Here is a 13,324-nt window from a genome sequence, read left to right on the forward strand (position 1 = left end):
CTTCACCTCCATCTTTAGTAATTTCTACATATATGTGATTTTTTTGGGTCACGTATAGCTGTTTTTTGTTTGTTTTTTGTTTTGTTTGTTTTTTGTTTTGTTTTTGTTTTTGTTTTTGAGAGGGAGTCTCGCTCTGTTGCCCAGGCTGGAGTGCAGTGGCGCAATCTCAGCTCACTGAAAGCTCTGCCTCCCGGGTTCACGCCATTCTCCTGCCTCAGCCTCCCGATTAGCTGAGACTATAGGCGCCAAGTTTAGATGTCTTATAAGCCCAAGACTATATGATAAATGCCTTATTTGAATTATAGCTGTGTTATTGTAGTGTTTTGTGCCCACCAGTTCTAAGATGTAGGTTCAGCCTAAAATTTCTGATTGACTATTTCCTTACATTGTAAAATAATGGGAGTTGGGACTCTTGGGTTCATTCATTTGCTCAACAAATATTAATTAAGCATATACTATGTGCCAGGCACTGCTCTGAGATACAACAGTGAGCAAACCAGATACCAATCTTCTCCCTTATGAAGCTTAGACAGTGCAGTGCCAGGTTCTGCCATGAAGGAACGGTTAGTGCTTTGCATGCCATTTGCCTTCTGTGGGCATCTGTTTTCCTGTTTGTAATATAAGAGGCAAGGGGACTCAACACCAACCAAACGAAAGGAACAACTTAAAAAACTAAGCTTGGCAAAAGGAAAAGTTACACAGGACAGGTAACCTATGTGCAAACACTGAGAAAGGTGTTTGGTTTAAGAGCAAGGATACTACTTGACACTAGTTGATCTGTGTGGCTCCCAAAGACAGGATGAGGACTGCTAGACACTGAGATCAACCATGTATAAGATGCTGAGGAGGGCCGGGCACGGTGGCTCACGCCTGTAATCCCAGCACTTTGCGAGGCAGAGGCAGGCGGATCACTTGAGGTCAGGAGTTTGAAACCAGCCTGGCCAACATGGTGAACCCCCGTCTCTCCTAAAAAATACAAAAATTAGCCAGGTTTGGTGGCACACACCTGTAATCCTAGCTACTGGGGAGGCTGAGGCATGAGAATTGCTTGAACCCGGGAGGCGGACGTTGCAGTGAGCCGAGATCGTGCCACTGCACTCCAGCCAGGGAAACAAAGCGAGACCCTGTCTCAAAAAAATAAATTTAAACAAAAATAAATAAATAAAAATTAAAAATTTAAAAATAAGACGCTGAGGAGGTGGCAAGTTTCTTATCACTAAGAGTGTGCAAGAAGAGGCTGGAAGAGAACTTGGCAGGATATTGGAGAAGATGCAAGTATCAGCCTTCTAAAAACTCTTTAACATATGAGTGCAATTAACATTACTATCTTCCATCTCAGTACTGCACCATGACGACCTTGTGGCCTGCATGTTTGTGGCAATAGGATAAGAGAAAGAAGGGGGAGACCTCTTAACTACCTTGGCCAGAAAGTGACACCTATCATTTCTGCTTACAGTCCATTCACCAGAATGAGTCTCATGGCCCCAGACTAATATCCAGGAAGGCCAGGAAACATAAGTGAGAACATGAATATAAGGTAAGCACCATCTCTAAGATTTTGAAAATATGGAGAGACATAATAACACCTATTTCAGAGAGTTACTTTTAGAATTAAATAAGCTAATCCATTGTGTCATCTAGTAACTTTTCTTTTTTTTAAACGAGCCTTTCTTTCATCCTCTTCCTCTTTTATTTGACTTCAAAGATCACCATATTATCTGGCTGGACCCATTGAAAAGATGCTCTATGGAGCCCCTAGGAGAAGTCACTGATGAAAGGGATTGATCTTATATGGACATATCCCCACACACTGATGCCTAAAATTCCACCATTAGAGGCACCTTCCTGCCACGTTTCACGTCTCTAGGCTTGGGGTAGGCAAGGGATGTGGAGGGTGGACATGGAAATTCCAGGTGGGAAGCTGTCAGTGACAATTTCAGCCAGGCTGGCCCTAAGGAGGATGGAGGTTGCATAGCTCAGAAACCCACCACCCACGGGTTGCTGTTATATATGCAGTTAGAAAGGCTGTTTCCCCCCAGTGGAGCAACCTAGGGGCAGGCTGTCCATCTGAATCTGAAATGAATTCAATTTAGCTTCATGTAATTGCTTATTTGATTCCTGACGATGACATGCAGTTAGGAGGTAAATTGACATTCTGTCATTTCTGTTCCAATGAACTGAACTCCAACAAGTTCCCTCCTAGGTACTTTGTGGCAGCCAGGCCACCTGCTCTTCTTCTGAAGAGAAATTAGCGAGCACAGGGAGCTTGGAAATACAGCATCCCGAGCCTGGTGCCTTTTTTTGTTGTTGTTACGGTTGTGAGATGAATCACATAGTCAGACAGGGGTACGCCTGAACTTCCTTTTCCCCTGGTGAACACAATAGACGTCCTTTCAGAAAGCTCTCAGGATGACTTTCTGCTTTAGAAACATGAATTTTCTCGCTTGTCATCCAAAGTTTATTTCTGTTCAAGGTCAATTTTGCAAAAAAAAATCAAACAATATAGGAGTCCGTTTTGAAAAAAGATTTCAAACAATTTAGGAGACATCTCCAGCAAGTCATAAAAGACCTCACCCGTTCCAAGCACAGGAATAGGTGTTTGTTTTGTCGTGGCTACCCAGTGCCCTCTTTGGCCAAGCCTTTATATAACCACAGCATTCTGAATGGTGCCCACAAGGCTATGGGAAAAGGCAGTCCCTTCAAACAAAGGGGAGGCCAGCCAGGCAGACAGGACAGGGCTCGACAGGATGCTCAGAATGTGATTGAAGGGTGAGCAAGAACCTTGAATTTTATTGATTAAAGACACAAATTCTCAAGGGCATAAATAGAGGGCCCAGATGTCAATATCCACAGACACCAAGCCTTCTGTGTATACTGGACAGATGTCATTTACATGATCATGGTAAGAAGAATATGGTATTGTAAGTGATATGGTAAGAAACAATATGAATATTAAACCATGCAGCAGTGCTTCTCAACAGGGGCAATTTGGCAATACAAAGACATTTCTGAGGCTGGGAGCAGTGGCTCACGCCTATAATCCCAGCAATTTGGGAGGCCGAGGCAGGCGGATCACAAGGTCAAGAGATTGAGACCATCCTGGCCAACATGGTGAAACCCCGTCTCTACTAAAAATACCAAAAAAATTAGGTGGGCGTGGTGGCGTGCGCCTGTAGTCTCAGTTACTTGGGAGGCTGACGCAGGAGAATTGCTTGAACCCGGGAGGTGGAGGTTGCAGTGAGCTGAGATCGTGCCACTGCACTCCACCCTGGAGACAGAGTGAGACTTTGCCTCACAAAGAAAAAAACAACAACATTTTTGGTTGTCACAGTGAGAGGGATACTACTGGCATTTAATGCGCGCAGGCCAGGGACGCCGCTAAGCCTCCTGCAGCGCACAGGATGGCTTGCCACATGATGGAATGAACAGGTCCAGACTGTCAATAGTGCTGAGCTTGAAAAACCTGGTAGAGAGCAAGGGGCCAAGCACGTGACAGTGTCCACTTAGGAGAAGTGATGTCGGCTGTGTTAGGAAAGACAGTTTCCGCTGGACTTGGGGGAAAGTTCATGCTGAGTTGAGAAAGGTGAAATATTCTCATTTAGAATCACAAATGTGATCACATTTCTTCTCTGTTTAAAATAATTCCACACTGTATGAAAAAATCAGGCCAAGCACAGTGGCTCACATCTGTGATCCCAGCAATTTTGGAGGCCGAGATGGGAGGATTGCTTGAGGCCAGGAGTTCAAGGTCAGCCTGGGCAACACAGTGAGACCCTATCTCTACAAAAAAAAAAAAAAAAAAAAAAAATTAGCCAGGCATGGTGTTGCATGCCTGTAGTGCCAGCTCCTTGGGAGGCTGAGGCAGAAGGATGGGTTGAGCGCAGGAGTTTGAGGCTGCAGTGAGCTATGAATGTGCCACTGCACTCCAGCCTTGGGGGCAGACCGAGACACTGTCTCTAAACAAAACAAAACAAAAAAAAAACCATAAAAACCCACAACACCACCTTGTACCCTATAAATATATGCACCTATAATTTCTCAATATATAATAAAAATGTATAAAAAAAGAAACATGTTTTTATTTAACATTTAAAAACCCTGGGTCAGGCGCAGTGGCTCACACCTGTAATCCCAGCACTTGGGGAGGCCGAGGCGGGGGGACCACTTGAGATCAGGAGTTTGAGACCAGTCTGGCCAACATGGCGAAACCCTGTCTCTACTAAAAATACAAAAATTGGCCGGGCATGGTGGTGTGTGCCTGTGATCCCTGCTACTTGGGAGGCTGAGGCAGGAGAATTGCTTGAACCCAGGAGGCGGAGGTTGCAGTGAGCCGAGATCACGCCCCTGCACTCCAGCCAGGGCAACAAGAGCGAAACTTCTTCTCGAAATAAAATAAAATAAAAATACAAACCTGTATTGGTTTTCTATTGTTTTTAAGAAAAAGTCCAATCTGTATAACACAGTCGCCAAGGCCCTGTGTATATAGTTCCCTCATCTTCTGCAGGAAGGAGAGGAAAACCAGAACTTAGGGAAGGGACATTGGTCTGAGCACCCTGCCTTCAATGTCAAGTTAATGAGAAAGGTTAGAAAAGAACACTTAAAAATAATCTGTCACTGCTATAGTTGCAAACAATGGGGAAAAGAGGAAGTGGTGAGAAATGAATCTGTCATGCAGACTCCATGAGGGTTATTAGCAGATTGATCCTGAAAGAGCAAGAAAGGTCTGATTTGTTGGTAAAATACTCAGCTATAATGAAAACAAAAAAGAGGAGAATCATGCAGACATCCTTCCTCCTCCATCCTCCATTTACAGTCAAAGCCTTGTTTCCTCCACAGCAGCTCTTAGGACTCTGGGAAAGAAATGGCTGATGAAGAAATTTTGGAGATTTGACTGCTGAGTCCCTAGTCTGGTATTGTTAAGAGTCATCCAGGAAAGACACATGTCACCCCTCCTAGCTCTGCTCTGGGTTTTGTTTCTCTCTGGCACAATGTCCTATGAAGACTGGACTATAGGTGGCCTGGTCTTATTCGGGTTACACACCGCTCCACTCTGCTCACTGGGCCCCCACTGCACTAGACTTCTCTCAGGACCTTCAGTATCACACTGCAGCTTCCCACAAGTTCTTCCCACAGCTTGGATTCCAGCCTCTGCCCATGTGTCTCCCCTTCTACATCCACACAACCCACATTATTTACTCCTGTTCATCTTTCTGATTGTTGCGCAAACATTATTTCTAGAGAGATTTTCCTGATGCTGCCCAACCTGGCTCAGTTTCCTTTATCTATACAGTCCCATGCCCTCCTTATCATACTTATAAAATGACATATTCAGTAGGCTTGTGTATTTTTCCACCTTTTGATGGAGCTCCATGAGAATAGGGACCAAGGCTGCCCTTATATGCACTGTGTGAAGGGATCTAGCAAAGGGGCAGTTGGGGCTTAAAACTAGCCTTCGATTTGCTGACCTGGCAAGGCTTGGCTGTCATACAACCTGGGGTATCCCCAGCACCTAGCACAGTGCCTGACTCAGAGCAGGTCCCCAGGAATTGTGGATTGATTGACACTGTCTGGCTAGGTCCCAGCACCATCCATCATGAGACAGAAAAAAAAAAATCCGCTTCCCAGGCAGAGCAGCCTCCAAGGCCCACATGGCCCACGGCACCTCCTCATCAGCACGCACTTCATGCTGGCCAGCCATCAGCCAAGCTGCAATCTCAATAAATCAAGAGGCTGGGGCACCATTTCCCAGGGACCTGCCAGAGTGCCCCTGGGCGCCCAATGAGGCTGAGAGTTCTGCTGCCGGTCGTGGATCTTGAACTCTCAAAAGCAATTGGTGAAAAACACCAATGGATTGTGAAAGAAGTGATCACTCCTCCTTTCCTCTGTAGGTAGAGGTTGACAGTCAAATCTAGTTTCAAGGTCTCTGTCTCTTTGCGGTCCTAGGTAAATACGATCATCTCTCGAAACTTTCATTCCTCCATCTGTAAAATAGGTATGATACTCATCCCTACCATCCAATGTGTGGAGATCCACATAATGCTCTAATATACTAGGTTGGTGTGAAAGTAATTGCATTTTTTTCTCATAAAAGTGGCAAAACTGCAATTACTTTTGTGCCAACCTAATAGTACACGGCACAGTATATACAATGTGTAATATAGTACATAGTACATAGCAGATTATATATATAAATTATATATATACATATAAAAATAAACATACACACACACAGACACACACACGCACATATATATAATGAAGCCTCTTCCTTTAATGGCCCAAGATTGAGCCAAAAGGAAATACAGGGAATTAAACCATGAGGACAGAAATCTCCATCTAGGCTGTCTTGGTTGTTCTGCTCACATTCCCCTACCCAGGCTTGCAACCTCCCGTGAGGCTGTCTGAGCCTGGACACACCCCTAGAATCTTCATTGCCAACAAAAGAAGAGAAAGGGAATAAGGGGTATTTGTGTGGAATCTGAAAGAGACAAACACACTCCTTGTTCTTCTCAATACAGGTGTTTCCAAAGCTGCCAGAGAGACCCAGAGCTTAGAGTTGTGATGACACAAGGGTAGGTGATGTGGACAATGACCGGGGCCCCCAGCCAAAACCATCCCTGTTTATCTGTTCCACAGAATGGTGTTCAACATCAGTTCTTGTCTGGTGGAGGGGGAAGAGATTGTGCTAATGAATAAACATACAAAGTAGACAAATGTTTATCACTCCTTACTAGCATAAGATTCCATGCGTACAAAACCATATAAGCTGTCTATATGTGTGAGTACAGCTCTAGAAAGACAGAAATGATTGTATTGGATGCCAGCTTAAAGTTGGGAAATACCATTAGAAGAAATCGCAACTTGAGAATCTTGCATTTTATTGCCAAGTGTTTGGTTTTAACGAGAGTCTAAATGTGCTCACCCATTCACTCATCCCTCCCATAAATATTCCCTGTGGCCCATTATGAGTTTGACACTCTGCTAGGCTCTGGAAGACAGGCAGAATGATGGAAAGAATCATTTTCTAGAAATGACTAAATCCTAGTTAAAAAGGGGAAATATTTAAACTATTAGTGACAATATAATTTATGCATTCCGCTAGTACATGCGGAACAACTCCTGCATTTCAAGAATTATTCTAGACACGAGGGATACAGTAGCAAGCAAAATATAAAGATTTCTCTTTTCATGGAACTTGTGTTCTAGCGGGGGGAAAGTGCCCAATAAAAAAATAAGCGAATAAATGCATAATTCATACTAGCTAGTGATAAATGCTTTTATAGTAAAGCAGGTAAAAGATGAAGAGTGATGAGAAGGGGCTACTGTTTTAGATCAAGCAGCTGGGAAAAGTCATTTGGAAGAGGTGACATTTGGGCAAAGAGCTGAATCAAATGAGGCAGTAAGTCATAGCAGGTGGAAGGGAGGTGTATTCCAGGCAGAAGGGAGCAAGTGAGCGACAGCCCTGATGAGCAGGGTACCTGGAATATTCCAGAAGCAGTGGGAGAAATGAGTGCGGCTGAAGCCCAGGGAGCAGTGGAGAGATACTGGGGAGAGTGGTGAGGCCACATCATGTAACACAGCCTGCGTTGCTGAGCAGCCTTCAACAGGATGCAAGCCCTGACAACGAAAGAATAGTTAACTCAGAAAAAAACAAAACCAAAACTAAAACCCAGCTGCTACGGTAATGGAATTGGGCAAGCAAAACCGATAGTTCATGAAACACAGGAGCAAGACACCTGAGACCTGGCTCACCCAGCAAGGTGGCTGCAGAGCTGCTTAGACTTGGAGAAGCAGGGGATTCCCTGTTATTTCCAACTAATAGGAGGAGTCAGAGTGCAGAATGAAGATGTGCTCTGCTAGCCACCTCTAGAGAACATCTCTCCTCATTTTTGACTGCCCAGAACCTACCTATGCTGAGGGAATCCTCCTGGTCTCTGTTCCCACCTTTCTCTGCAGAAGCTGATACCAGTTTTCCCAGCTTCCCTTGCAGCTAGGGTAAAAGCACGTGACCTCATTTCCACCAATCAGCTTGCTTGCTCCAGCCTTCACCATGGAAGCTGGCATTTCCCTCAATGGTGGCTTTCCCTCTGGAGGCTCTAGGGGAGAATTCCTTCTTTGCTTCTTCATCTGCTGGTGGCTGCTGGCATTCCTTGAATTCTGGCTGCATCACTCTCATTGCTACCTGCATGGTCAGGCTTCCTTCTCTTCTCTATGTCTTCTCTTCTGATGGTATTAAGACTCTTTCTGTTTCACTTTTTAAAAAATCTCATTTTTATTTATTTTTTAAAATATTTACTTTTATTTCAATAGTTTTGGGGAAACGTGTAGTGTTTGGTTGCATGGAAAAGTTCTTTAGTGGTGGGCTGGGTGTGGTGGCTCACGCCTGTAATCTCAGCACTTCGGGAGGCTGAGGTGGGCAGATCACTTGAGGGGAAGAGTTCAAGACCAGCCTGGCCAACATGGTGAAACCCTATCTCTACTAAAAATACAAAAAAAAAAAAAAAATATCCAGGCGTGGTTGCATGCACCTGTAATCGCAGCTACTCAGGAGGCTGAGGCACTAGAATCACTTGAAACCCAGGAGGCAGAGGTTGCAGTAAGCTGAAATTGGGCCAGTGCACCCTAGCCTGGGTGACAGAGCAAGACTCTGTCTCCAAAAAAAAAAAAAAGAGAGAGAGAAAGAGAAAGAAAAGTTCTTAAGTAGTGATTTCTGAGATTTTTGTGCACCTGAGTAGTGTAACTGTAACCAGTGTGTAGTCTTTTATCCCTCACCCCCCTCCCCATGTACCCCCAAGTCCCCAAAGTCTACTGTATCATTTCTATGCTTTTGCATCCTCATAGCTTAGCTCCCACTTATGAGTAAGAACATACAATATTTGGTTTTCCATTCGCGAGTTACTTCATTTAAAATAATGGTCTCTAACTCCATCCAGATTGTCGTGAGTGCCATTATTTTGTCCCTCTTTATGGCTGAGTAGTATTCCACAGTATCTATATATACCACATTTTCTTTATCCACTTGTTGGTTGATGGGCATTTAGGCTGGTTTTATATTTTTGCAATTGTGAACTGTGCTGCTATAAACATGCATGTGCAAGTGTCTATTTCATATAATGACTTCTGCTTCGCTCTTAGGACACTTGTCATTGGATTCAGGGTTCACGTGGATAATCCAGAATGATTTCCTCATCTCAGGGCCTTTAAATTATTTCCATCTGTAAAGACCCCATTTGCCAAATAAAGCCACATTTACAGATTTCAGGGATTAGGACATGGTCATATCTTTTTGGAGGCCACCGTCCCATCCCCTATGCCACCTCCTAGAGATCTTATGAACTAACTAATACCTTTTTTTTTTTTTTTGAGCTGGAGTCTTGCTCTGTCACCCAGGCTGGAGTGCAGTGGTGTGATCTTGGCTCACTGCAACCTCGGCCTCCCAGGTTCAAGTGATTCTCCTGCCTCTGCCTCCCAAGTATCTAGGACTACAGGCACCTGCCACCATGCCCGGCTAAGTTTTTGTATTTTTAGTAGAGATGGGGTTTCACTGTGTTAGCCAGGATGGTCTTGATCTCCTGACTTCATGATCCACCCGTCTCGGCCTCCCAAAGTGCTGGGATTATAGGCATAAGCCACCGCTCCTGGCCACTAATAACTTCTAATACTTTTTTTTTCCTTTTCGTTGATACCAGCCTGAATTGGTTTGTTTTTTGTCAAACAGAAGCTTGACATGGACCCCACCCTATCTCTCTATTCCTGGCCACCAAAGAGGACAAGATGTCTGGAATGCAGCCCTGCTTGGGGGCATAAGTGTGAGACTTTGGTTCCAGCTGATATGCACAACTCTCTGCCTTCCCGTCTGCTCACTTTGACTCCTGCCTCGTAGTAAAGGAACGGACCTCCCATGTCAGAAGCTCTGTGGTTGAGACATTTTCTTTCAGGTTAAAACATGTCTTCTGGCCCTAAGAGATTGGGATGTGAAACCCACCACAAAGAGTGGAGGGAAGCTGGCTGGGTGGTCAGCCTCACCACATCAACTATTTATGGCTTTGTTAAAAAATAAAAACCAGAGCAAACTCACCCATAGAAACCTACAGAACATGCATGAGCCTTTAGGAGACTTCAGGAGGGACAGTGTTGTCTCCTAAGCTGTCTTGCACCAGTGGTGTCGGTGCGTGGGGGTGAGAAAGGAAATCTCACGGGAAACTTTCCATGAATACTTGGAGCCTATTATGAGCAAGAAAACGACAATATGACAAACACAAGAAGCAATATCTCACGGTGGTTACACCCATGTGCTTCAGAGCCAGAGAGATATGGGTAGAAGCCTGAAAACTGATACCACTGCTTACCATCTGTGTGATTTTGAGGATTTTTTAAAAACCTGAGCCTCAGTTTCCTCATCTTTGAAGGGTATTAATGCCTGCCTTGTTTTTTTGTCTGTTTTGTGAGGATTAAATAGATTCAGTAAAGCTCTTAGCTTAGTATTGGTGTATGTGAATATGTGAAGACATCTTATATTCCTTTGCCACTATTGTCATCCCTCTTATCTAAATAGCATCATCTTGAATTCAGTTAAATCTGTGGACGTATTGTCTCTTAGTGCATGTGCTGTACTCCACAGTGTCTGGCACGTGATAGGTGCTACATGAATTTTTGGTTTATAAAGCTGTATTGTTTTGATGGGTGTGTAATCAGAGTTTAACGGACCAGAAGGTGACAAAATTCAACTGATCCTCCTAGACATGGTGCCATATTTCTCTGGCTCCATTCTAACTATAATGCCAGTAATTTCAATCTCCACCTAAATAAAGCTCATCACTATCACTCCCCCACCATGTCTGGGAGTCCCTAGGACAATGTCTCACCTGTTCTTGCATTTCTGGTTTGTTTGGGCATCAGTGACACCTGCCATTCTCTTTCTGCTCTGCACTGCCCACTATGGATGAGGATACCATAGGTGAAGGGTTATGAGATGAGGTTGAATGACTGTGATATTCCAAAAATTTCCAGTTGAATCAAATATCACTGAGCTCTGCGACCCTGGCTGGCTAAGTCACAGAATCTTTTTTTACTTTTTGTGTGTGTGTGATGGAGTCTCACTCCATTGCCCAGGCTGGAGTGCAGTGGTGCAATCTCGGCTCACTGCAACCTCCGCCTCTGGGGTTCAAGTGGTTCTTCTGCCTCAGCCTCCTGAGTAGCTGGGATTACAGGTGCGTGCCACCACGCCTGGCTAATTTTTATATTTTTAGTAGAGATGGGGTTTCACCATGTTGGTCAGGCTGGTCTCAAACTTCTGACCTCGTGAGCTGCTGCCCTTGGCCTCCCAAACTGCTGAGATTACAGGCATGAGCCACCATGCCCAGCCATCACACAATCTTTTTAAGTCTGAGTTTTATCATCTGCAAAATGGGGGAGATCTATCTTCCTCATAGGGATGATGATTAAATGAAATAATGAACACAAAAGGAATAGCCTGGTATGCATTAGGTACTAAATAAATGCCAACTATCATTTTTATCTCCTTGATGAATTATTTTCCTAGTGGCTATACCACCCCACATGCCAATAATGACTTTTGGTAGATATGCCATATCTAGTCAGATATTTGGGGGTGGTGGGAGAGTGAGCTGGTGGCAGAGAAGGTGGGGACAGAGACTTTCTATTATGGCATCTCGGAGGAATAAAATAGTAACTGTCAGAAACGTGATGCTATAGAAATCAGCTACAGAACCAGCTATATGGATTGTGAATTTTTTTTTTTTTTTTTTTTGAGACAGAATCTCGCTCTGTCTCGCAGGCTGAAGTGCAGTGGGGCAATCTCGGCTCACTGCAAGCTCCACCTCCTGGGTTCACGCCATTCTCCTGCCTCAGCCTCCCGAGTAGCTGGGACTACAGGCACCTGCCACCACACCAGGCTAATTTTTTGTGTTTTTAGTAGAGGTGGGGTTTCACCATGTTAGCCAGGATGGTCTCGATCCCCTGACTTCGTGATCCGCCCGCCTCGGCCTCCCAAAGTGCTGGGATTACAGGCATGAGCCACCACGCACAGCCTGGATTGTGAAGTTTTAACTCCAGTGCTGTCATTTGCTAGCAAATGCCCTTGGGTAAGTTCTTTAATCTTGCAATGTCTCAGTTTTTAAATCTGCAAATAGGGATAATAATACCTATTTCACAGGACTGTAAGGATAATTGAATAAGTTCATTCATGTCAAGCACTCAACATGACTTCTAACATGTAATAATTAATCAATAAATATTGACTATTATTAGTTTCCCAGTGAATCAATCAAGAACGTACGTTTTTAAAAAAATCCTTAAGTGCCACTTTGTGGATAGATCTGCCCTTACCGTGTCCAAGGGATCTATGTGCCTTCAAATGTTCGAGTCACATTTCACCTAGATGCTCAGATATGCAGAAATTCTAAGGATAAACCACCTAAACTACTGCTATGTGTACAGACCTGTGTACAAAGGGCTAACATATTGAGCTGGGCTTTCTTCTTTATTGGAATGCACCCATGTTTGCTGATGAGAATTTTCTACCTGAAAGGGTTCATGAAAGTGGAAGATTGTACAGACCATTTGTGAAATTTTGTGTCCACCACCCAGACCTGGGAAGTTCAACAATGTAATGGCTCCTGTCTTGACATGTCATGGAATGGTCAAGGAAATGAACGGGTTTCTCAGGGGTGTTTGGTTGTAAGCCCAAGAAACTGACTCAAATCAGTCCAAGCTTTATTGGAAGTATTCAAGCGTACTTCCTGGAGCACACAGACAGATAGTATAGTTGGGCTCACAGGGTCTAGAATCAGAAACTGGACCTATTAGGGTCCAAGGCAACTCTTCCCTCTCTCTGCTCTGGTGCTTTCAGCTAGTTCGCTTCGTTTCTTCCTTTGCAGAGTGACCTTTTCTGCCTCTCTTGCCCACAACCCAAAGACCCAAAGGTGGCCACCCCATTTTTATGTCCTCTCAGTACTAGTGCCCCCAAAAAACTGGCAAGAACAACCAAGTCCAACTCCAAATTCCCAGGGGAAATGATTGGCCAGGAAAAGAGGCCAAAAACATGTGGTGACTCACGAAGACTCAATCTATGGAAGGACCACTTGACAAAGATCCAAGTCAGAATCCTCTGGGGCATTCAGCTGGCCATTGGCTATTTCAGGTCGGTACACTGTCTTCTGCTTCTTGATGTCTAGGTCTCGGGGAAGGACCACGTGGCCTGCTGGCTCATGGGGCTCCATGTACCCTTCTGCACTTCTCCAAAGGGCCAGCCTTTTTTGCTGCACCAGAGGCTCTGCTCATACCCTTCCCTCTACTTTGAACA

At 44.4% G+C, this 13,324-nt stretch overlaps 1 annotated feature.

The window, feature by feature from the left end:
* Positions 7,793–7,912: an enhancer, noted in NCBI's record as "active region_10513". NCBI's record gives its function as "activates an Ori minimal core promoter by ATAC-STARR-seq in GM12878 lymphoblastoid cells {active_cell/tissue: GM12878}" and the evidence as "EXISTENCE:reporter gene assay evidence [ECO:0000049][PMID:35858748]".

Source organism: Homo sapiens, chromosome 16 (assembly GCF_000001405.40).
Source record: "Homo sapiens chromosome 16, GRCh38.p14 Primary Assembly".
NCBI classification, from domain to species: Eukaryota; Metazoa; Chordata; class Mammalia; order Primates; family Hominidae; genus Homo; species Homo sapiens.